The sequence below is a fragment of the Homo sapiens genome, chromosome 18 (genome assembly GCF_000001405.40).
Source record: "Homo sapiens chromosome 18, GRCh38.p14 Primary Assembly".
Classification (NCBI taxonomy): domain Eukaryota; kingdom Metazoa; phylum Chordata; class Mammalia; order Primates; family Hominidae; genus Homo; species Homo sapiens.
The window spans coordinates 72543969-72569816 of record NC_000018.10 but is presented as its reverse complement, the minus strand read 5'-3'; the positions used below and the strand labels follow the sequence as shown (position 1 = coordinate 72569816).

Sequence of the window (25848 nt, the reverse complement as noted above, 5' to 3'; positions counted from 1 at the left end):
GGGAGGTATGTAGATCGTAGGGGAGAATCCCTCATGAACTGCTTATTGCCTTCCCCTTGGTGATGAGTGAGTGAGTTCCCACTCTGGTAGTTCACACGAGATCTGGCCATTTAAAGGAGTGTAGCACCTGCTCCCTCTCTCTCTTGCTCTCCCCTTCGCCATGTGTGGGGCCTGATCCCCCTTCATCTTCTGCCATGATTGGAAGTTTCCTGAGGCCTCCCCAGAATCAGATGCCGGCACCACATTGCCTGTACAGCCTGCCGAAACTTGAGCCAAATTAAACCTCTTTCCTTCATAAATTACTCATTCTCAGGTATTCCTTTATTGTAACACAGAATAAGATAATTGTTTTCATATATTAAATCAAAATAATTTATCATAACTGATTGTTTCCAGAGGCAGATGTAAAAATCTAGCTGTCTTTTATTAAACCAGATACTGAAAAGATTTGGAAAAAATGTAAAACAATATCATTATTTTCATTAAATTGTTTTTTGTTTTAGTAAATACAGCTATCTTAAAATGATGTCTATATTACAATTTTAGTGGTTATAAATTATTGTTATATTAACATCTAAAACATTTTACTATTATTATTTTTAAAAAGAATAAAATTTTGCCTAAAATGTCAATGGTATCACTAGTGGCATGCTGGTAAACTGGTTCTCTTAAAAAGATAAAAAGTCCTGATTTCCTGTGGTAACGACTCCGGTGGTATCAGAGTAAATATTTAACAACTAGTTTTCCAAAAGAAGTTTCAACATGAATGTCTGCATTAACAAGTGAAACAAATGGGAAACAGCAAATCCACAAATTGGAACTTCACTCATTCATAAGGATTGACTTTTAAGCTGAATATGATAATATGTTTTGAATATTAGATTATTTCCTCAGATTTTTTTTCACTCTTCCTGACATAACTGTTAGAGACTGGAAACACTTTAAATATAATCTGCCTAATATACATTTTCTTAAATCGACAAAACAACAAATCAAACCCTGCATTGTAGCACTTGCCAATTTTGTGGTATAAATATTACCATGGCTGATTTCAAGCCATGGACCTAACATCACAGAACAGGGAGTCTTACAGGGATGCACAATAACACAACATTAAATAGAATTTCCACTGTGCAAATATAGCAGAAACTAACCTCAAAAGAATAGGTAATAGTGCAATAATAAGAAATGTTTATTACATTTGTTTTTAATATTTTATTTTTTTAGTTTATTTTTATTTTTTATTTTAGTTTTTTTAGTTTATGTAATTTAATTTTTAATAATAATTACTTTAAAGACTGGCTTGCAAAATTCATGAAAATCTAATAAGTAATCATTTTTGCTGGCTGACTCCATCACACTATTGAAATATGCCTGCCGTGGTCATTTGGAAGCTACTGACATGAAGTCACAGCAAGCACAGTTGAGAGATGTTCAGAATCAGTTTTGGCTGATGATGCTTCTCGGCTCCAGCACATCGATGGATGTAACCTTAATAAACAGAAACTATTTGAGGGTCTCCATAGTTTTATGAAGGTTAAAGGATCCTGAGACCAAAGTTTGAGAATTACCCTGTTAGAGTATAGAGAGGTCATTCGTTTTAACCCTGGAGCCAGTGCATGGATGACAGTGATCCTAGAGAGTCCCAGTGGCTTAGAACGTGACTGGTTATACACAACAGGTCAAACTTACAGAATGAATAATGGATATAGCGGCATTTGACAGAGGAACTGAGTACTGAAACGAAATAAAAAGTGACAAGAAATGAAATCAAAGCTTCTGAGTGAGAAAAGAGGTGAAAATGAGTATGTAAACAACAACAACAAAAAAGAACTGTGATGTCATGTTAATCCTAACAATAGTTTTATTATAGGCTTTTATTTCTAATGGAAAATTATTGCTTCTTGTGTGATTTTAACTTGTGCAATAGATAAATATAAATGCAATGTATACTTGCAACTGCTTTCTAAGATCTTATTACAAGAAAGGCCTTTTGATCTGTTAAACTTCTTGAGGGGTCTGATGTGCAAAATAAGCCTAAGCTGAGCCTGAAGGCATGGGAGAGCATCTGTGTAACAGGAATTTTGGAGTTCGGAGAGTAATCCAGGAGAAAGAAGAAGAGAAAGAGAAAAGGAAAGAGGGAAGATGAGAACTCATCTTAGAGGCTGGAGACTTTGTGAAATAATGCATAAGAATATGAAATATTTAATCTGAAATTGACTTGTCTATGTAACCCTCGACTTCTCCATATTCTGTATCTTTACATTTCATGTGCGTTTGTGTGAGGGTATCAGCTAACGTGCTTGAGTATGTGTATGGACATGCCTGAGAGAGAAAACTCAGATAACAGCATCCGGATGACATATAACAGAAATAATAATTCTGGACAAGCAGTAATTTAGAACAAGAGGTGACTGACAGAATGCTAGCTTCCAAACCACTCACATACATTTTAGGAAGAGCTTTGGACTTTCATAGAATACATAATGGATTTTTTTTAAAAAGAATTCACATTTTAATCTCCAGAAACAGAAATATCCTAGTTTAGTTCTTCTTATTATTATTTTTGATTGACATGTGATAATCATACATATTTATGGAATACGGTATGATGTTTCAATGCATGCACACACTGTGCGATGATCAAATCAGCATAATCAGCATATCCATCACCTTAAACATTTAACATTTCTTGGCCAGGCGCGGTGCCTCCTGTCTGTAATTCTAGCATTTTGGGAGGCTGAGGCAGGTGGATTGCTTGAGCCTAGGAGTTCCAGACGAGCTTGGACAACATGGCGAAACTCCATCTCTACAAAAAGTACAGAATTAGCGGGGCAGGGTGGCAAGCATCTGAAATCCCAGTTACTCAGGTAGCTGAGGTAGGAGGATAATTTGAGCCAGAAGGTGGAAGCTGCAGTGTGCTGTGATTGCACTCCAGCCTGGGTGACAGAGCGAGACTCTGTCTCCATTAAAGTAATAATAATAATAATAATAACAACAACATTTCTTTTTGGTGCAAATGTTCAAATTCCTCTCTTTCAGTTATTTTGAATTATACATCATTGTTAACTACCCTTCTGTGGAATAGAATACCAGAACGTATTCTTCCTATCTAACTGTAACATTGTACTCATTAACAAATCTCTTCTCTTGTCCTTGCTCCTACCCTCCACAGCCTTGGTAACCACCACTCTATTGAATTCTATGAGATCGACCTTTTTAGATTCCATACATGAGTGACAACACGCAGTATTTGTTTTTCTGTGCCTGACATTTCACTTAACATAATGTCTTCTAGGCTTATCCATGTTGTCACAAATGACAGGATTTCATCCTGTTTATGGCTGAATTTGTGTATGTATACCACATTTTCCTTATCTATTTATCTGTTGATGGACACTTAAGTTGATTCTCTATTTTGACTACCGTAAATAATGCCACAATAAACATGAGAGTGCAAATGTCTCTGACATACTTATTTCATTTCATTTGATGATATACCTAGTAGTGGGATTGCTAGATCACATGGTAGTTCTATTTTTAATATTTTGAGGACGTTCCATACTGTTTTTCATAATGGCTGCACTAATTTACATTCCCACCAACAGTGTGCAAGTGTTCCCTTCCCTCCATATCCTGGCCAACACCTGTGATCTTTTGTCTTTTTAATTTTAGCTGTTCTAACAGACATGAGGTGATATCTCAGTGTATTTTTGATTTGTATTTCCCTGATGATTTGTGACTTTTAGCATTTTTTGTATACCTGCGGACCATTTGTATGTCTTCTTCGGAGAAATGTCTACTTAGCTCTTTTGCTCATTTAAAAAAATCTGGTTATGTGTTTTCCTACTATTGAATTATTTGAGTTGCTTGTGTATATTGGATATTAACTCCTTATAAGATGTATAGTTTGTAAATATATTCTCCCATTCTATAGGTTGTTTCTTTTTCTCTATTGATTGTTTCCTCTGCTGTGCAGGAGCTTTTGAGTTCAATGTAAATTTAATTGTCTATTTTTGCTTTTGTCACCTGTGCCTTTGAGGACTTAGCCAAAAAATCTTTGCTCAGACCAAGGTCATGCAACCATGAACCTCTCATCCTCTTTTGTTATTTACCTTTGTGTTCTGGTGATTTACTGTAGCAGTAAGCTTTGATTCCCTTCTCTTTCTTATTTGTGTAACTACTGTACCTTTTATGTGTTGTTATTATGGGGCTTACATAAAAATTCTCATATAGACTTTCTAAAGTTGATAACAACTTAACTTCGGTTGCATACAAATATTCTAGACATCAGCCCTTGCCCCACAATTTATAATTTTCATTTATTTACATCTTTTTATGTTATATGTTCCTCAACAAGTTTTTTAGCTACAGCTATTGTTGACCATTTTTATTTTTAACCTTCATACTAGAAATCTGATTTTTAACCTTCATACTAGAAATATTTATACTAGAAATACTATAATGGTGGTATTACATATTGTAATATATTATACAGTAATAATATTAAATACTGTAATGGTAGTACTACCATAATGTAATGGTAATATGTATTACTACCATGACAGTAATAGACTATTGTGAATTTGTCTATGAATTTATCTCTACCAGTGAATTTTATACTTTCATATGTTTTCAGGATAGTAACTACCATCCTTTCTCTTTCAGTTAAAGTACTTCCTTAAACACTTTTTGTAATGCTGATCTTTGCTGATGAATTCCTTCAGCTTTTGCTTGTCTGGTGAAGACTATTTCTACTTCATTTATGAAGGATAGCTTTGCTGAGTGCTATTCTTGGCCGACAGATTTTTTCTCACAACACTTTATGTCTTCTCGTTCTCTCCTAACTGCTCCTGCTGAGAAATCTGCTGATAGTCTATTGAAAATCTTATATGTGACTTAGTGTTTTTCTTTTGCTGCTTTTAGAGTTCTCTCTCTGACTTTGGGTTTTGACAGCTTGATTATAATGTGCTTTGGAGAGTATCTTTTTGGGTTGAATCTATTTGAAAACTTTTGAACTTCATGGATCTGGATGTTCACATCTCTCCCAAAACTTGGGAAGTTTTTAGCTATCATTTTATTAATTAAGGTTTCTATGCCTTTCTTCATTTATTCTCCCTCTGAAATTCTCACAATGCAAATATTTGTTCACATAATGGTATCTCATAAATATTGTAGATTTTCTTCTCTTTCTTCCATTCTTTTTTGTATCTCTGACTAATATGCAAATATTAATAAATCATTAAATCAGTTGTTTTGAGAAAATTTGACCATATAGTGTATGTTTTTTAATTTAATTGTATCTCTGACTATCTGACTAGGTTATTTCAAAAGACTTGTCTTCAGAATCAAAATCAGAAATTCTTTCTTCTGCTTGAACTTTTGTTGCTGAAGCTCTCGACTGTATTTTTATTTCATTCGTTGAATTCTACAGCTCCACATTTTCTGTTTGGTTCCTTTTTATGATATCCCTTTGTTGGATTTTTCATTGAAATAATAAGTTATTTCCATGATTTCATTGAACTGTCTATGTGCATTCTCTTGCATCTCACTGAGTTTTCTTAAGATTATTATTCTGAATTTCTTTTCAGATGATTTCTGAATTTCCATTTCTTTGGGATCAGTCACTGGAGAATTGTGTTTCTTTTGTGGTATCATGTCGCCTTGTTTTTAATTTTGTGTGTGTGTCCAGGCATTGATTTCCGCATATCTGGTGAAACAGTCAGCTTTTCTAGTTTTATAAGATGGATTTCATAATGCAAGTCTTCCACCTGCAGGTACGTTTTACAGTGTCAGTTGGGTAACGTGTGTTGGCTTTGGTTTCGAGTGGACATGGTTTCAATGCAATTTCTTTAGAACGTCATAGAATGACATTCATAGAATGTCAGAAATGCCTGTGAGTGCCTCAGTAGCCTACTCTGTAGGAGTTTGTATGACTGGTCTGCTGGCTCAGTCATAGCTCCATTGGGAGTGAGTTGCTGGGTTTGTATGGATGTTGAGAGAGTGCAAGCCTGGCCCACTGGCTTGGACACTGCTCCCTTTTCAGTGAATTGCTGGACTCTGTTCATGTGCAGAGGGGACCTGAGCTAGCCCACCAGATGGCCACAGCTACTCTTGGTTGGTGTACAAACAAATGGAGCATGTGAATGGCCTATTGAATTGTGGGTGGTGCACTTGGAACTCTCTTGTTTCCAAGCTGATCTTGACTGGGAAGATGAGGTGGCAGGAGCAGAGTCTTTTTTTCTTTTCTCTATGTGGCCATCCTGAATCTTTACCACTTCCTTGCTGTACGCCAGTGCTCTCGTACAGATACTCAAGTCAAGATGTTTATTTTATTTGTTCCTCCTTGTGTTATGGGGTGGGGGGAAATTAGGCATCTCTAATCAGCTATCTTGTTGATGTCCTAGAGACAGACTAGTTTAAATAAAGCTACATTTTTGACAAGTCTTCATTCAGAACCATTTCCACTCATCTTATAGATGAATAAAACTTATATAAATAATGCAAATATTAATAACTCATTAAATTGGTTGTTTTGAGAAAACTTTGACCATTTAGTATTTTTTAAATTTAATTGTAAAAACATAATCTGAGTTTATTGCATCTTTTAGGTTTCCCTTTTTATAATGTAAATCTGGCTTTACCCCATTGTGATTTAATCTCTGGATTCATAGCACATGCTCATTATTTTCTATAGGTGTGTCTTTGTGTGAGAGAGCATCGCGTATGTATGTCTATGTCTGTATCTAAATCTATGTAACTATCTATATGTGCTGATTTTAATGAGAGACTTCTCTAAATATTAAGACAAAGTTTTACAATGGTATTACTTCCACTATTTGAGCACCTCTCGCTAAAATGGAAAAGGAATTCTAGGTTCAATATCCTAGAAGCAACTTGCTTTCAATTTCCTGTAGTTTAAAACTAGCAACTGCCAGCAGGTGTATCCAAGCACATTTCAACTGTCAGACAGTATCAGAGAGATAAATAAAATCACTAAGGTAACCAACTTCTAAAAACCCCGTGAATCATGAAGACATTTTTACATAACATCAAACCTAAATTATACTTGGCAGACTAACATTTTAAACTGCCTCCTTAAAAGTAGGATTCATTTTCCACTATTGTCTGTTTCCAAAGACTCTAAATATGCATTCAGCATTTGTGTTATCCGGGTTTAAAATAAAAGTAAAACAAAATAGTGAGATAAAATAATCTTCCACAATTTTTATACCAAAGCTAGTCAAGGAGACTCGTCTAACCACATCAGTCAAATTAGGTCAAATGTGTTCCTATCACTTTAGTACGACAAATGATATACTGAGAAATCATACTTAAATGGGTCATTTGGACCATATCTTACCTCTGGAGGAGAGAAAACATTCTTCCCAAACAAAATGTTTTATTTTTCTTCTTATATGATTTCATTCCTGTGCTTGAGATATACTTTATCCTCTTTTCCGTTTTATCTAAATGTTTTACTTTTCTTCCTATATGATTTCATTCCTGTGCTTGATATATATTTTATCCTCTTTTCCACCATCTCTCAATTATAATTTTGTCCCTGTATGGCCTACATTGTCATCCCTAATGCTACTCATGCTCCTCACACCCCGTATCAGTCCTCACCTATCACACATATACGCTCAATTTATGTGATACATAGCTGGCTTCAAATAGCTGTCATCTGTTGTAAATGAAGTCCCAAACGTGTGCATGGCTTACTGCTCCCTAAAGGGTAGTAGCAGACACATAAAACAATAAATTTGGAGGTACTGTTCTGTGAGTTAGTTCTGTTTATAATCAATTATCACAGGGGAATTGTGTAACCTAGCAATGATTCTGTTAAATGATAAGGTGACTTATCACATAGACCACCTGCCAAAGTTTATAAAATCACACCTAGTGTCTTGAGATATCTTTTATTTACCCCTGACATATAATAATTCACATGAGCCTCCAGAGCACTCTGAGATTAATGTTTACGTAATTTTAAGCCCTCATGCTAATGCACATGTTATTGCCGCACGGACAGAGGGAAAATTGTGCATGAAATAAGCAATACGTTATAGTTTCCATATCCAACTCTCAGAAAAGAAGGCTGCCTTTTAAATGTTTTATCTGTCATAAAGTGCTGAGAAGTAATACGCACTATAGTGGTGGTGTGATAATTTCTGCTGCTTTCTGAAGCTTGCCAATTGCAAAATTACTCCTGGTGCAAGTTAATAAATAATGTATGCACTGTTAATAGATCTAAAATCTCAAGTTCCTGTTAGAGAGAGAAATTGTGCCAAATCTTCAGAGGAATGCTATATTCAATTGGAGGGGACAGAGGGAAGACAGAGAGGAAAGAGAGAGAAGGAGATAAAATAAAGATGTGTTAAAGTCATGGATGCTGTTTACTGTAAGGCCCTAAAACTAACAGGGTTTAAGTAATCAGAACATTTTGTTTCATACATTGAGTATTCTCATATAATATTGTATTTTACTTTTCTTCTGGTTTGAAAATTAACTTCTCATATTCTTTATAATTTTATGGAGATAAATGTCAAGCATCTTTTTTTTTTTTTTTTGGGTTGTTGTTTTTATTTTGGTTTCCTGGGAGTGATTTCAAGTTTACTGTTTTTTTAACTTAATGAAAATAAATGCTAATGTGTGTGTGTTTGTGTGTATGTGTATATATGTATATATATATAGCTTTTATCACAGCTATCTATATGTTTTATCTAAGTACCACTTACACCTATCACAACATTATTCACAGTCATTTGATTTATTTATTTTTATTTTTCTTTCTTTATTTTTTTTGAGACGGAGTCTCGCTCTGTCACCCAGGCGGGAGTACGGTGGCGAGATCTTGGCTCACTGCAATCTCTACCTCCTGGGTTCACACCATTCTCCTGCCTCAGCCTCCCAAGTAGCTGGGACCACAGGCGCCCACCACCACTCCCGGCTAATTTTTTGTATTTTTTAGTAGAGACAGGGTTTCATCATGTTAGCCAGGATGGTCTCGATCTCCTGACCTCGTGATCCGCCCACCTCGGCCTCCCAAAGTGCTGGGATTACAGGCGTGAGCCACCACACCCGGCCTATTTTTATTTTTTAAATTCATACCAATGTAAGCCTTTGGAATCTATGTATGTATCATAGAATAGAGATCAGCGAACTTTTTCTATAAAAGACCAGAGAGTAACTATTTTAGGCTTTGCAGGCCATGCGGTCTCTGTCACAGCCACTCAACTCTGCTGCTGTATTGAAATCAGAGAGCAATTTGCGAATGAGTCTGGCTTTGTTCTATTGGTCATAGTTTGCAAACCCCTGTCCCAAAGAAAAATTGATCCAAAAGCAAGTTAATTCAAACGTTTTTCTATAATTCTCTAGGTTGTCTTAACATGCTTTGAAGGCTTTGGAAATTCTCCATTGTAGGCTGATAAAGCTGTTCACTTTTCCACTTAAGAGGCATACAGAAGCCTGCCCCTTTTCCTGAAGCCATGTGATCACTCATGCACCTTATTAAACACAGAAGAATTATTTTCCTACGTGCACAGATGATCTCTGTCCATGACTGGCCTGCATCTGGGTGCAAGAAGGAACCCAGCCATCCTGCGCCCTCCCTCTTTAGACCCACAAGGGGCAGGAGCAGCTGGATCTGTGTAGACACAGCCCTTGTGCTTACAAAGAACAATGGCTTTCTTAAGGCCTGTCAGTGAGCAGCAAGTAAACAGTGAAAAATTGGGAGCTCAGGAAATACACAAACTCCTCTGCCTGTTCCCTGTTTGATGAGCTCCTTCCTGGGTTCAGTGAGAAGAGAGCTGATATTATTATTCCTATGGAAAGAAAGGATAAAAATAATAGATATTTGATCAATGGATATATAAAAAATTAACAAGTGTCACCGAGGTGATTGCCTTGCAGCTGACTACAAAATCAAGGTGCTCTGTGTCTTTCTTTGCTACTTTTCATTGCACTTCATTTGATTTCAGAAACCCCAAGAGACTGCATTTCAAAATGGCTTTTTATCTCCAATGCTATATGAAGCGCCCTTTAGAAGTCTAAACACAATAATGTCATCTGTGTCCATGTCACTCAGCATTGCCTTATCCTCGAAAAAATCAAACGGATATGTTAGCGGTGAATTCATTTTAAATGCCGGCCACCGGCTGGCAATGAAAAGTGCTTTCTTCAAATCTCTTTTCAAATACACAATCAACCCCATATTGATCAAGATGTTTTATCTAATTGCATTTCATTTCATACTCCGCTGTGATTATCAATAAAATATTTTATTTAATATAAATATTTGATAATAAGTTATCCTTTCTATGAAAATGAAAGCAAGCCATAAACTCACCAACAGAGTCAAATCCAAAATGGCGCGACTTGGATGTGTGCTCTGAGCCTGGCACAGGCCTTTCTTGAAGCCCCTAATAGGTTAGGGAACACGATACTTCTCAGTCAAATTCATCAAATGTTGACTTCACATGGACTCCACAGCTACAGAGAAATTGTTCTTTTCACCTCTGAAAAGGGAACTTGCAAATCCTGAAGGGAAGTCAGTGGCTGCCCCACTGCTGATTGGTTAATTGTATTGCAGGTCACAAAACATCAAGTGCATTGCTGCCTGAGACCCGGAGCAATCACATCAAAGATGCTTGACTTTGCCAGACCTGGGGAGTGCTGGTGGGCTGTGGGATGCCACATTGCTTCAGGGTGTACTTTATATCCTTTATTTCTAGTAATATATTTCCTTAATTATTAATTGAGACAGGGTCTCACTCCCATTGCCCAGGCTGGAGTGTAATGGTACTATCACAGCTTACTGCAGCCTTGACTTCCTGGCCTCAGGTGATTCTCCCCACCCCGACTCCAGAGTAGCTGGGATTGGAGATGTGTGCCACCATGCTTGGCTAATGTTTTGTATTTTTAGTAGAGACAGGGTTTTGCCATGTTGGCCAGGTTGGTCTTGAACTCCCGGGCTCAAGTGATCTTCTGCATCATCCTTCCAAAGTGCTGGGATTACAGGAGTGAGGCACCATGCCTGGCCTCTAGTGATATTTTAAAACCTCATATGCTTATACAATAGAAAATATTTATAAAGTTACCTACAAAGTGATTTCTGGTCCTGGAATGTTCTGTGATTTTGTGTCGACCCTTTCCTCAAACAGGAGCTTCTCCCTTCTTACTCCTACAAAAAGCAGTATTGTCACAATTTATGGGGAGTGAAGTAATGGGATTACTTCCAGAGAAAAGAACAGAAGCTTTGCACACCCTTTCTTTAGAACAACTGCACATTTTGAGATCTCCAAGATAACCCTCAGGTTCAAGGATCCACTAGAAGGGTTTGCAGTGCTCAGCTAACCTGTTAGACTCATAGTGAAAGGACACAGGTTAAGATCAGCAATGGGAAAAGGCGCATCAAACAGGGGCAGGACAGACCCAGTGTGGAGCTTCCGGGTGCCCAGAGTATTATGTCTCCTAGCTATGATGTGTGACAACACCATGGGGTATCCCCCATCAGTGACAAGCACCAAACCCAGAGTGTCCAGAGATGTTATGGGGTACAGGTCACATAGACATGACTGAGCCCCCATGTGCCTAACCTTAGTCTCTAGCCCCTCCAGAGTCAAGCTGATGCCACACGGCCCAAGGTGCCACACTAAGTCACATGGTCAGCATAGATCCTCTCTAGGAGGATTTTAAAAGTTGTTTACATCCTACATTCATTAGGGAAGACCTGGGTGTTCACCTCTGTATGACTCTGCTCCTTTAGGAAACCTTCCGTGACATATTTCATGAGAGCTATTCATTTCTGCCAGCACTCTGTGCTGGAAAAACCCATCCAGCCTGCCTGTTTTTCTTATGCTTGGACTCTTGTGCTTACTTTTTTAAAAAACATATTTTTATTTTAAGTTCCAGTGTACATGTGCAGGATGTGCAGGTTTGTTACGTAGGTAAACATGTGCCGTGGTGGCTTGTTGTACCTATCAACCCATCACCTCACTATTAAGTCGAGCATGCATTAGCTATTTTTTCCTAATGCTCTCTCCCCGCACCCCACCTCTGAAAAGGCAGTAGTATGTATTCTTCCCCCTCCCTGTGTCCATGTGTTCTCATTTTTCAGTTCCCACTTACTAGTGAGAACATGTGGTGTTTGGTTTTCTGTTCCTGCATTAGTTTGCTGAGGATAATGGCTTCTAGCTCCACCCATGTGCTTTCAAAGGACGTGATCTCATACTGTTTTATGGCTGCATAGTATTCCGTGGTGTATATGTACCACATTTGGCAAGGTTACAGATAAATAGGAACATTTTTACATTGTTGGTAGGAATGAAAATTACTTCAACCATTGTGGAAGATGGTGTGGCAATTCCTCAGAGATCTAGAACAAAAATACCATTTGACTCAGCAATCCCATTACTGGGCATATAGCCAAAGAATATAAATCATTATATTATAAAGATACATGCACATGTATGTTCATTGCCACACTGTTCATGATAGCAAAGACATGGAATCCACTCAAATGCCCATCAATGAGAGACTGGATAAAGAAAATGTGGTACATACGCATCTTATTTTGCTTTATCATTTTCATTCAGTTTGAGTTCATTTTATGAGAAAATCAAAGATTTAAAATTCAAATTAAAGCAAATTAAATAGCATATACTGTATTTGTCATATTTTTATTTGTTTGCATGGTACATTGGTAAACAATGGTAAGCACTGCATTCGAGATATTGTAGGGGAAAAACTGAGTAGATTTCAAAGCACTTGACATGATAGAAGATAGAAAATAATATATTTCTCTTCTTCAATTACTCCTTAGATGTCAGCATAAGAATGATGAAAACATTTTCAGTTTTTATGAGGTGGTTTAAAAGCCTATGTCTGCATATAATTTGGTTCTTTTTTCTCAGATCCTTAGCTATTACTCTGTTGGTTTTAAGAGTTTTTTTTTCCTGACCCCTGCTTCTTGTTTCAAGCCTTTCATTATGGTTCTCTACTTTCCACTCCTGGGCATCATAATACGCTGAGAATCTACCTATCAGTAATTTGCTCTAAGTTGGTTTAATTTCCACTTTTCTTATTTTTTTCAAGATAAGCTAAAGAAACACCCTCATTTACCTTGAGTCTTAGAACCAGTAGTCTCACTAGTAAAGTCTTTTCATTGCTCCATAACTCTCCCGCATGTTTACTGCTGTGCAGCAGAAATAGAGACAGGAAAGGACTGTTTTATGCTGAGCAATTACCACCTCTTCCTCCAACCACACCAAATGCAGGCAACAGGCCTTCTAAGTGTGCAGGAGGAATTTTCTTTTCTTTTCTTTTCTCTTTCTTTCTATCTGTGTTTTTCCTTCCTTCCTTCTGCTCTTTCTTTCAGATAATAGTAAACAGCTATTGCTAACTGAAATTTCACACTTATGTGGCAGAAAATTCACTGATAGACAGATAGAAAATGGATAATATTGATGCCAGGTTTAGAATTGCAGACCTGACATTCTTATTTATTTATTTGGAAGAGTTATCCTATCTCCCTAAGTGTTTTCTTTTTCTTTTTTGTGTCTGCATTATTACAATTAGTAAAAGAATTCCACATTTATTCGCTGGTTAAAAAGAGGAAGTGAAGTAACATGTGTGTTCCAGTCAGCATGGAGTGGGATGTGCTGCAATTTAACAACTCATTATGAAAACAACTTGTTTTTTCCTTATGCTACATGCACAGGACAGGTAATTAGGGATCCTATCCCCTACCTCTTCAGCCTGGGACCCAGACTAATGGAGCACCTGCCATCCCAAACATTGCCAGTGGGTGTGGTAGGAAGAATGGTTCAACTGGGGGGTGTTTGTCACCAGCCCAGAGCCACAGAAACAGGAAGCACTTCCCTCAAGCCTCACCTGAAGCCATCCTGCTCCACATAACCAACAGGATACCCCACAGTGCAAATACCTTGTGCTCAGAGGGAACTTGTTCAGGGACTAGAATTACTGACTTTCTCTGTAAGATGTTTATCTAAAGTGCTGAGCTCATAGTAGGTGTTCGTTGAATTTTAGATAACATGGTTATCACTTTGCTACAAGGTCATGAATGAGTCACATTATTTTGCTTAAGTTCCAGTTTCTGTAGAGAGAAGGAATTTTCAAGTTGTTACTGATTAATTTCAGATTTGAACATAAAGTACATTTTAAAAATGCTTATGATAAATTAAATGGAAAAAGTAGATTACTGTATATAAAATTCTATAATTCATAAATTAAGATTGTATTAGGTTGGTGCAAAAGTAATTGCTGTTTTGCCATTACTTTCAACGGCAACAACTCAACCTAATATTCATACGTTTTCTGCTTCCCTGACACACACACACACACACGCCCACACACACATAGTCAAACACATATTCACCGTGAATTTCTTTCATTTTCATCAATAGGAAATTCTCCCTCCCCCTCAAAAACTATCTAGTTTCTTTAAACTGAATACCTTAGCAACCACGACAGACTTTTGAACACATATTGAAAGTAGATGCATGCACTCTGAGATCTCTGACCACCAGCAGGCTTTCCAGCCGAGGGCACCTTTAGAGTGAAGCCCTGTCCCTATTTTAAACACGGCATTGTGCCTTCAGTTATTTGCTTTTTTTTCCCTCTCTCTCTCTCTCTCTGTGTTTTTCTTTTCTTTTTTTAAAGACAGAATCTCGTTCTGTCACCCAGGCTGGAGTGCAGTGGCATGATCTCGGCTCACTGCAACCTCCACCTCCTGGGTTCAAGTGATTCTCCTGCCTCAGCCTCCCAAGTAGCTGGGATTACAGGCACGTGCCACCATGCTGGCTAATTTTTGTATTTTTAATAGAGACGGGTTTTCACCATGTTGGCTAGGCTGGTCTGGAACTCCTGATCTCAAGTGTTCCGCCCATCTAGGCCTCCCAGAGTGTTGGGATTACAGGCATAAGCCACCGCACCAGGCCACTAATTTTTTTTCTTTTTAATCAATATCAGCAAGGGGGAAATGAACAGGGGTTGCAATGGTAAGAGATGAACTTTTATACATTTCAATTTTTTTTCTTTAACGTTTTTATTGAGGACTTTGCCTGAAATTTTGGCTAAGCGTATTTAGAGATCGTATGTAACTTTTTGTCACTGAGTTTTTAGTTTTTTTTTTCTTTGCAGGCATTCAATTTTTTTTTTTTACTTTGTGTTATTTAGAACAATTATTTAATATGAACCACTTTAAAGATGTTTAATTGACAAATATAGGATATAATATGGTGTTATGATACGTGTATATACTGTGGAATGATTACGTTAGGCTAATTAACGTAATGTATACCATTTTAAAATAGTAATTCTAAACTCCAGAACTTAATTCCAGTACTTGAAATTTGAAAGGAAAGGGAACAATTTCTCTAGTTAGAATAACTTCAAAAATAATCATCAAAAAACCCCTTTTTCATATGCTTTTTTTGTTTTGCAGAAATTTAAAAGGCCGGTTAAAGAAAATGTTTATTTTTCTCTTAAAAATTATTCTTGTCACTTTCTTGCAAACATCCTCTAGGTAAATCAGGCATAATAGATTACAACTTTTATAATACATTTCAATTTGACTGCTTTAATCAGAGTCAAACCAAAACAAAAAAAAAGGGTAATGAAAACAGCAAATAAGAATAATCTTATAATTTTTAATTCGTTAAACATTCTTCATCATATTACACTCTAAGGATTATGAAAAATAAATTATAGAAGAGATTATGTGATTCGTTATTAATTCTTTCCCTGCAGGATTGAGAACCAAAGGATGCTACACTAGTTCTTCATTATGGAAATATGCACTTCATGTAATATAATCAGATTGCACCCAGGCATGGCAATGAAGGCTAGGCATAAGCTGAAAAACGAATCTGACAGTTGTCTTCAAGTCTCGTTTTAGCCAAATGTTTCGAATTTCTCCAAGTTCAGATCTTTGATCAGAGTTTATAACATCAATCAGAGTTAATAGTCTGATGATTTTTGTCACTCTATAATGTTTTCAGCTTTCGAGGCATGAATTATGGACTTTAACCCTGTCCTCTTTTCATTGCTCCACGGTTTCCCCCATTCTATGACCAGGATTAGGAAATTTCCTACGGTTAGATTGCGTATCAACCAAATGATGAGTTAGCTCTTTTGCTGAAATTATCTAAACATAAGGATTTGTCTGAGCTTTCCAATCACTAAAATTATATTTTCTACTTATTTATTTAAAGTAAGGTTTTGTTGAGTAACCTAACCAAAAATATGCACACATTTGTAATATATATGTACACGTATAATCTGTTTTCATATCTATCTATCTATCTATCTATCTATCTATCTATCTATCTATCACAAATTGTTAGTCTATGTAGTAACCTTTGTCTGTTGGGATATTTACTATTTTTCCTGAGCTATATTTCTTATTTTCTGTTTATGCCCACAAAAAGAAGTTTATCGCTCCTTCCCTCATTGACATGTTGGACAAAGCCCCTGAAGGACCGGGGCAGATTCCCACTCCACACGTGCACTTGTCGTTGTATTTCCCAAAGTCCTCTTTGGAGTTGCTGAGCCCTGAGATCCAGCTCAGTGTTTTGTTTGTGAACACGTAAATCAGAGTAGTGAAGCCCAGGGAGAGACAAGACAGTTTCTCCCCTCTGGTCTCCTGTTGTGAGTCCTCCTCTTCTGCTCCTGTGTAATCCATTCTGTAAAATCCAATGTTTTCCTCTCAGCAGCATTTTGCACAAAGTTCACATATGCACATATATGAGAAAATAATTTTATGTCATTTAAACAAATATTTCCAAAGTAAGGCATCCATGTGGTGGAAAATTTAAAAATACAGAGACACATAGGATTGAATAATAGTAATAACAATCTCTTGCCTAACACTTTCCTAATTCCACTAGTAACCTCTTCTGAAACAATTTTCGCAATGTTTCCCTTTCTCCTACTATTTCCCAAAGTCAAAATCAAATGATTATATGCCTACTTACAAATATGTCAACTTTATTCAATGTCTATTTTCTGCTTAAAAGATGGGGATTTAGCTCACTATCGCTAGCCTTCTTTATTTCTTTTTTCTCCAGTAATTTAAAAGGAAATATATTATTTAAAATTATATTATCAATTCGCTATGTACCTGGAAATGATGTACTTCTTTTTCATAATTTTAGTGAGCATCTCAACATCTTTTGTGAAAAAGGAGAACGTGGATGTCACTGGCTTTCACTTCATGTTTTGTGAGTTCCACTTTTATTTTTCTGTTACCAAGATTGTTAGCTTTTGTATTACAGAAGGGTTGTTTTGAATGACATGTTTAAGGAAGGAGTTTGTTGATTTTTATGTATTTTGAAAAAATATAAATATTAGATATTTGTATGATAAGCTGATTTAAATCTATTTCTTCTATTAAAAAAAAAGTATTTTGGCCGGGCTCAGTGGCTTATGCCTGTAATCCTGGCATTTTGGGAGGTCAAGGCAGGTGGATCACCTGAGGTCAGGAGTTCGAGATCAGCCTGATCAACATGACTAAACCCTGTCTCTACTAAAAGATGCAAAATTAGCTGGGCTTGGTGGTGCATGCCTGTAACCCCAGCTACTCAGGAGGCTGAGGTAGAATTGCTTGAACCCAGGAGGCAGAGGTTGCAGTCAGCCGAGATCGTACCAGCCTGGGCAAAAAGAGCGAAAGTCTGTCTCAAAAAAAAAAAAAAAGTATCTTGCTCTGTTGGACATTTTAATAAACAGTGAAATTCAGAAAACGCTGACAAAACAGGTTAGATAAATGGGAAAGAAAAGGCTAAGAGAACATAGGAACTGGGTAACACAATCACATACACAAAGAAACAACCAGTAGTTAACTTTTTGATATGAAAGGTCAACACAAATGTACAATCTCAAAATCACAAAAGAAAAAGTTGGCCTTCTAAGTTTAAAGCTTCAGATGAGCATTCACATTCCCTAAGGTGAGTCAAGAAGGTAAGGACAATTTATTTCTTTAATGAAATATTAAGCCGTGCTAATTAATATTAACCTAAATGATAAATATGTGTTTATATGTATAATGGTGTTCATATAATTTCATGTAATGTATGCATCTGAATAATCTCAGCATGGTTACAGTATTAATGCTGGGTACTTTTTGACTTATTTCTCTGAAACAGATCCCTCACCTGTGTATACACACAGAGACCCACACATTAGTCCAGCTCCATGCAGACATATAGACTTCAGTGATGGGGTGTGTTCAAGGAGCGCAAGGATGGTAGATCTTCCATTTCTGAAGACTTAGTGACACTTTTAGTCCACCTAATTCTGTCGGTTTTTAGTCAATTCTATTTCAAGCAAGATTTAGATCTCTCAGAAATATAAAAGACAACAAAAGGAAGCACAGGATTAAAATGTGTCCAGTCTTCTGGCTATACCCCAGAATCTCCCAGACCAGTCTAGAGAATGTGAAACCTCTATAAACCAAAACATACACCAATAAAATAAAGGTATCTTCAATCTGGTAGGGTAACTAAACAACAATTTTCTCTTCATTTCATATATATGTATAGATGTGTATATATATAAACATTTTACCCATTAGACATGTCTGAAAGTGAGTATGAAGATACATGGTAGAAACACCTAAAATTTGTATTTAATAAGCATCGGAATAAATTTATCAATGTTTAAATAGAGGACTCTCAAAAAGTAAAGATGCTATACTAGATGTGTTGAAAAACAGCAAAACAAAATGTCACGGTACTTGTTTGCAATGAAATTACAGTTTATGGGTGTGAAAGACATGTATATGTGTTACTCTTACACTGTGCCCTGCATTACCCATCGGCATACAGGACACAATATAGGCACCATAGCAGAGCTGCAAACAACGTGAGGTACCTATTAAGAATATAGCCGTATATCATTTTAGGGGAATATTTAATGCACAAAAATAAATCATGGAATAGGTTAGTATTAGTCTATCATTTAAAAGCTATTCTGTGCAGAACATCTCAAATAACATTTTGAATTAAAGCAAAACTTAATTTAATACTTAATATTCACTGAAATCTCCCTAAAGGCACATAGAGGATTTACAAAATTAAAAAAAAAAAGAAAAAGAAAATTTCTCTTTCAAATAAGGCAATGTGTGTTATGTTATTTTCCATGATACAAACTTTTTATTTTAGTATTTTTGAAAGGTAGGTAAAATAGTTCTAGTTGCTTAGGCTTCAACGTCTAGGAAATTTAGTGTGAATATCATTTCACTAATGAAAGTGCTTTTCTTTCCGCCGCCTCCGTAGCCCATCTTCTCCATAAACTCTGTACAATAGTACCAGCCCTTAAACTGAGCTCTCTCACCACCCTCTGACTTATCAGCACTGATTGCTATCAGCTGTTTCTGAGCCTTCCTGCATTTTGATTCATTGAGGTTTTTCCTTACCTCCCTGTATGGTTCAAGTTTGCTCAAGAGAAATGATGGTGCAATGTAATCTATTCTTCAGATATATCAGAAATTTCACAAATGTTTAGGCTTATTGGAGAGGATGAGATCCTGAGGGGAAATCCATATACTTTCTTGTAGATTACAATGAGATAGCAGTTCCATGACTTATCAAACATGCATTCAGAAAACCTGCCAAGGGATGAACTTTGTTTCTCATTTTCCTTATTTTAAAGTCAAATTATAACTTCCTAACATTTCTGGCAGTGAGTAAGAAAAGCCCAAGTTTCATATAAAGAAGAATATGTTGATATTACAACCAGGAGAATATTTGCTTTTGTATATGTGTATAGGCTTTCTACGTCTACCAGTTTTTAGCAGATCCAAATATAAATCTCACCATTCCCTCTGCTATTGCTGTTAGGAACCGCAATACCTTTGACCCAGGAGCCAGAGGGTTTCATTTTTTTCACAAAAACACGTAAAATCTTCAACCCTAGGTAAGCATTTGCCCAGTAATGTGCAGATGAACTGAAACTCCATCCATGACAATTACAGAGTAACCCCTGATAGAATAATCTTATACAGGATGATAAAATCCCCTAGCTACCAATTAAAAATGCCTTTAGAAAGCCATTTCTCCTGTTTTCTCAGTAATGCTTCATTTGTCTTGCCCAAATTGGGTTTTAGACAGGTGAAAAAAAGTATAACATTTTAACACAATCATGATTTCTTTTCTTTTTGGAATAATTGTATAGAATATAGCACATTCAACTTGAGAAAGTAGCCACAAAACACCAGATGCTAATGAAAAAGAACAGCTGTATAATCATACTGTTGGATACTGGCTTCCATGTTTATTATATGATCACTAGACCATTTTCTGATGTGAGTTTAACATCATATATTTAATCACACTTTTCCTCCTATGTGTCTGCAGTAAACCTTCAGAATATTTTTCAGGTATTAATATTCCCACAAGAATAGAAAAAAATAGATCTTTGCTACTCAATGTGTGGCCTATAGACCAGCAGCATCAGCATCAGCTGCAAGCTTGTTAGAAATGTTGCTGGCCACGTTGGCTCACGCCTGTAATCCCAGCACTTTGGGAGGCCAAAGCGGGCAGATCACTTGAGGTCAGGACCTCCAGACCAGCCTGGCCAACATGGTGAAACCCCTTCCCTACTAAAAATACAAAAATTAGCCAAGCATGGTGGTGCACACCTGTAATCCCAGCTACTAGGAAGGCTGAGACAGGAGAATCTGTTGAATCCAGAAGGCAGAGGCTGCAGTGAGCTGAGATTGTGTCATTGCCCTCCGGTCTGGGTGACAGAGCAAGACTCCATTAAAAAAATAAAAAATAAATAAATAAATAAATAAGAAAGAAGGAAAGAAAGACAGAAATGCAGACATGTAAAATTTCAGGCTCCACCCAGCATTTGTAATAGGATTTCCCAATAATTCATGTGCTCATTACAGTTTGGATCCCCTTCCTCAATTTCACTACCTTTTTCTCGTATGTGAATCTGGTGTTAATACATATCTTCGCAGCCTGGGTGCATTTATGGTGCAGGAAGCTAGGACAGAGTATGCAGAGGATGCCCATGGAAAACAGATGCTGCGTGCACAAGGTCAGAAATAAAATTCAGCCATTGCTGACTTGTGGCTTTGCTCAAATGACCAGGCTGCACGGGCTTCATTTTCAGATCAATAATATTTCTTAAATATATTTGGTCCTGGACTCTGATCTCTGTGCAGGGGATAACCATACTTCTCTTAAAAACTTATGATCAGTATAAAATGGCTTTTATAGTGGATTACATCAGAAGAACGGATCCTGAGCGATAACCAGGTATTTTTAGTTTGGGCAATGAGCAACTCTATGAAACACTAGCCTTATAGTAGCTCAGTTTAAAAACAAAATAGTCCTATGAATCTTTCCTTAATATTCCCTTTGGATGTTCTATTTTCAAAGAGTAGTCTCAAGATCAAGAATTAATATCAAGTATAAAATAACTAGTTAGTGCTAGCAAATAGTTTTGGAAACAACAAAAAGGTCCTATTCGATCTAGATCTAGGCAATATTTGAGTTACATTTCTTCTGACTTGGATTAACAGTCACATCTGTAATCTGGTTTGTGGCTGCAGCACAGTCAGAATACATTCTGATGGCAGATCCCTAAGGCAATGGAAGGCAGCTTAGTGGCACGCACTGAGGAGATGGTGACAAGGAGTCCTCTCAACTCTGCTGCCTCCAAATCAACAACTCCAGACACCGATACCACACTCAGATCTCTAAGCTTCTTCAAAAACAGAGCCTCTCAGATGGTTCTTTCCTAAACCTTCAGCTTTTCACTCCTTTAATTCATCGTACCCTATGATCTGTTGCTTCTTGAGGATGTAGGTATGTCTTCTGGTAAGAGCGAGCAGAACAATCGCCGGATGTTAAAGGACAATTTGAAAAGAAAACATATTTTGGAAAGCTGAAATGGTTATGTATGTGCTTAAAGTTAGCTTCCAACTGTTGGACTTAAAACTTTACTAAACGATCAAAAATACAGCATACCTTTATATTTTATTTCTACGGGAGAACACTTGAGAAGGAAATACACATTGATATATCACCTCATATAAATTTTTTCAGATACAAAAGCACAAGTTTTTTCCTTAAATCATGCATTTTCTTTTTTCTGAAATTCCCTTCTAGATAAAAATATATTATTTATGTATATTATGTTTACTCAAAATAATCCAAATATAAAAAGCCTTAAAATCATACCTGTAGCTCATTCTAAAACTAAAGCTATACAATTACATTAAAAGAAAAAAATAAATAAAAATTAGAAATTGCTTTAGCTACATATTACTGATTTTCTACTACCTCCTGGATAATAGAATTTTTTAAATTTTTAATTTTAAAAATAGATTTAGGGGGTACATGTGCCGTTTTCTTACACAGGTACCCAAATAGTGTACATTGTACCCACTAAGTGATTTCTTATCCTCAACCATCCTCCTACCCTCCTGCCCTTCTGAGCTTCTAACATCTGTTATTCTGCTCTCTTTGTTCGTGTGTGCGCATTTTTTACCTCCCACTCATAACTGGAAACATGCAGTATTTGACTTTGAGTTATTTCGCTTAAGATAGAGGCCTCCAGTTCCATCTATGTCGCTGCAAAAGACATGATTTCATTCTTTTCATTCCTTTTATGGCTGAGTAGTATTCCAATTGTGTGTGTGTGTGTGTGTGTGTGTGTGTGTGTGTGTGACACTTTCTTTATCAAATCATCTGTTAATGGACACTTAGATTTATTCCATATTTTTGCTACTGTGAATAGTATTGCAGTAAACCTAGCAGTGTAGGTATCCTTTTCCATACAATGATTTTTTTCCTTTGAGTAGATACTCAGTAGTGGAATTGATGGATCCAACAGCAAATCTATAATGCACGCTGAAGATGCATTTCAGAGATAGGTTATACCCAAAGAACTCAAATTTAAGTTCCATGAGAGACAGATATTTAGAAAAAATGAGAGGAAGGGTACTTGAATTATCCCAGCGTCTTCCCTTCCCACATTTTTCCCTAATATTAGAATATGTTCCTCTTCAGCTCTGTGTGAACACCTGTCTTTACCACAGGGTTGCTGTGGGTGTTAAATCGTGTTATATCCCAGACAAAAGACATGGTGCAATATCTCACACACCACAGGTGTTCCATAAATGGCTGTCATTGTTATTGTCTGTGGGAATGTCCACTATTAATGTTCTAGTAGTAATAGCAACAATTATTAACATGGAAAAGGGAGAGAAAAAGGAATCCCTGAGATAACTAGAAAAACTTTTGCTTTTAAATCTTAGACATTTTCTTAAAAAATTTCTAAGCATATTTACAAGCTAAAATTCCAACACTTGACTTAAATATCTTTTTTTTTTTTTTGAGAGAGAGCGTCTCGCTCTGTCACCCAGGCCGGAGGACTGCAGTGGCCCGATCTTGGCTCACTGCAAGCTCCGCCTCCCAGGTTCACACCATTCTCCTGCCTCAGCCTCCCGAGTAGCTGGGACTACAGGCGTCCGCCACCACGCCCGGCTAATTTTTTGTATTTTTAGTAGAGACAAGGTTTCACCGTGTTAGCCAGGATGGTCTCAATCTCCTGACCTCGTGATCCGCCCGCCTCGGCCTCCCAAAGTGCTGGGATTACAGGCGTGAACCACCGCGCCCGGCCGACTTTAATATCTTCTTATGTGAAACAACTAATTAATCAATGAATAAATAATCTGCTTCTCTGTCAATTTGCTATCTTTTATGGTTTCTTCTAAAATAATCTCTAGTCTAAATTAAACCTAACCTGTTTATTATATAAGAATGCTTATAGCTTTTTTCAATAACTTAGTCCAATAAGTCACATAGATTAAAGGTGTCTCTACATATATATAATCTAAACATTTATGTTGCCACATAGAAAGTGGTTTTCTTTTTTCCCCCAGTGTTGATGACGATAGTTCATGTGTGCTTGCATTTATATTAGTCAAAAGGAATGCTTACAGTATTGAGGAAAGATGCTGAGTAGAGTTGCTATTTAAGGACTTACAGATGTGTGAGAGGTATTGCTATAAATTAGCATCCCCAGATTGGTCTAATTATGTCTGTGTCTCACATGTCTTTCAAATATCTAGTGTTCTTTGCTATCTATGCTTACACTTAAATCAGTTCTCTCTATGGTGGAATGATGGATGGGGGCTTATTTTGACAGTAAGACACTATCACATGGATGAAATAGTGGAATAAAATAACTATTTGAAAGTAAGAGTGCATTTCCACTCTGTTAAACTCACAAAAATGGTAACAAAACATGGCAAACTGTGGTGGATTTGAAAAAGCATCCTGGCAAATGCCAGTACCTATCTCCAGCATGGTACAAAAGTGTTGAAGTATGACATTTACTTTACAGTGAGTATAGCTTAGGAGGATGAGAGATTTTGGAAGTATTGTATATTTTCTACTATTTTGCATGCTAGGTTAACCAGGAAGCATTTGGCTCAGAGGTACTTTTAATCACATCCTTACACCCATACTAAATATTTTGTCTCACGCAGCAGTGTGCAATGACTTTCTGCATATCCATTCCAGTTGAACTGATCGTGAATTTCATCTCCAGTGCTTAGAGATGATGCCTTGGCAGTTCTGTTCTAAATGGGGAGAATAGCGGTGAGAGGGCCTATGGGAAAATAAGGCCTTCAAAACCCCCTACCTGAAAAGACCTCCGTTTGTTAAGGTGGAATCAGACACTGCTGAAATCTTCAAAGGGGAGAGGGTTCGGTGTGAAGTCTGGAGGAATAAGAAATACAGATGCTCTAATGAACAGCACTGGCTAACTTTATTATTATTATTATTATTATTATTATTAGCCTATCAGAAAAGACGTATAATGCATGTCAAAGGACAAAGTATTTTTTAACCATGTTTTAAAAAAAAATCAGGCTATAGAGTGTAGATTTAAATATTGATTGTTTTTTAGACCAGCATAAACTATACGGCCCAGTTGTCTGTGCAAACGTTGTGCCGACGATAATAACCGATGATAACCTCACCGCAGCATTTATCATCTTGGCAGAGTTGTTTGTTAGATCAGTGAAGATCCGGAAAATCAGGCGGCGTGCTGCTTGGTTTTGCCAGGAGTAAAAGTACTGAAGGATACCGGGAAGACTGGTCATTATTGTTCTTCTTGTGGTTGCTATCATTATTATTATTATTATATTATTATTATTGCAGAGGTCAGCGCTGCTTTTGGGGTGAAAGAAGACCATCAGCAAACCTCAGCCTTGCGGCCAGGACTCCCCCGTCTTCTGTCGGAGTCCGCCGGTCCGCAGCCTGCGGCAGGGAGGCCCGGGCACCCGCAGGTGGCGCCCCACGTCCGTGTTTGCGCCCTCAGCCGAGCTCCAGGCGCAGCTGGGAAACCCAGCGCGTCTCCCCGGGTCCTTTGAGCGAGCGCGGACACCGCAATTTAATAAATAAGCGCAAGCGCCAGCCGCTCCACCAGTCCGAGGTCCAGAGGAGCAGACACACAGACCCGGGCCGGAGGCCCCTCTTCTAGCCCTGCGGGAACCGGACAGTTCCCCAACTGGGACTCTGGAACCACAGCTCCTAAATCATCAAATTCTCAAGCTTTTTTTTTCCCTCTCTTCGTCCCAGCCATCCCAGTCTTCTTCTTCTTTTTTTTTTTTTTAACTTATTGTTTTTTTCGCTCCTGTCATTATGAAAGTGGTCACGCCATTCAATATTAAGACTTGGAGGGAATTGGGGAAAGAAAAGAAAGAATCTAAAAGAAGAGAAGCGACCGGTGCTTTTAAGGGTGTCTAATTTTCAAAAGAGACGTCTGGGAGTATTTTGCTCTGGGCGTTTGGGTGAGCAG

The 25848-nt window shown here is 37.2% G+C and overlaps 1 protein-coding gene across 4 annotated transcripts in view; it reads left to right on the top strand.

The window, feature by feature from the left end:
• The window catches only part of CBLN2 (cerebellin 2 precursor), a 101841-nt gene that overhangs the window by 68705 nt on the left and 7288 nt on the right, over positions 1–25848 (top strand). For 3 of the 4 annotated variants that reach the window (XM_006722394.4, XM_017025559.2, XM_011525824.3), the window contains exons 2-3: positions 17181–17246; positions 25209–25840. The gene's annotated coding sequence lies outside the window, so the exon portion shown is untranslated. Of the gene's footprint in view, positions 1–17180; positions 17247–25208; positions 25841–25848 lie in introns of those variants that run through there. The other variant, NM_182511.4, reaches the window with a different exon arrangement.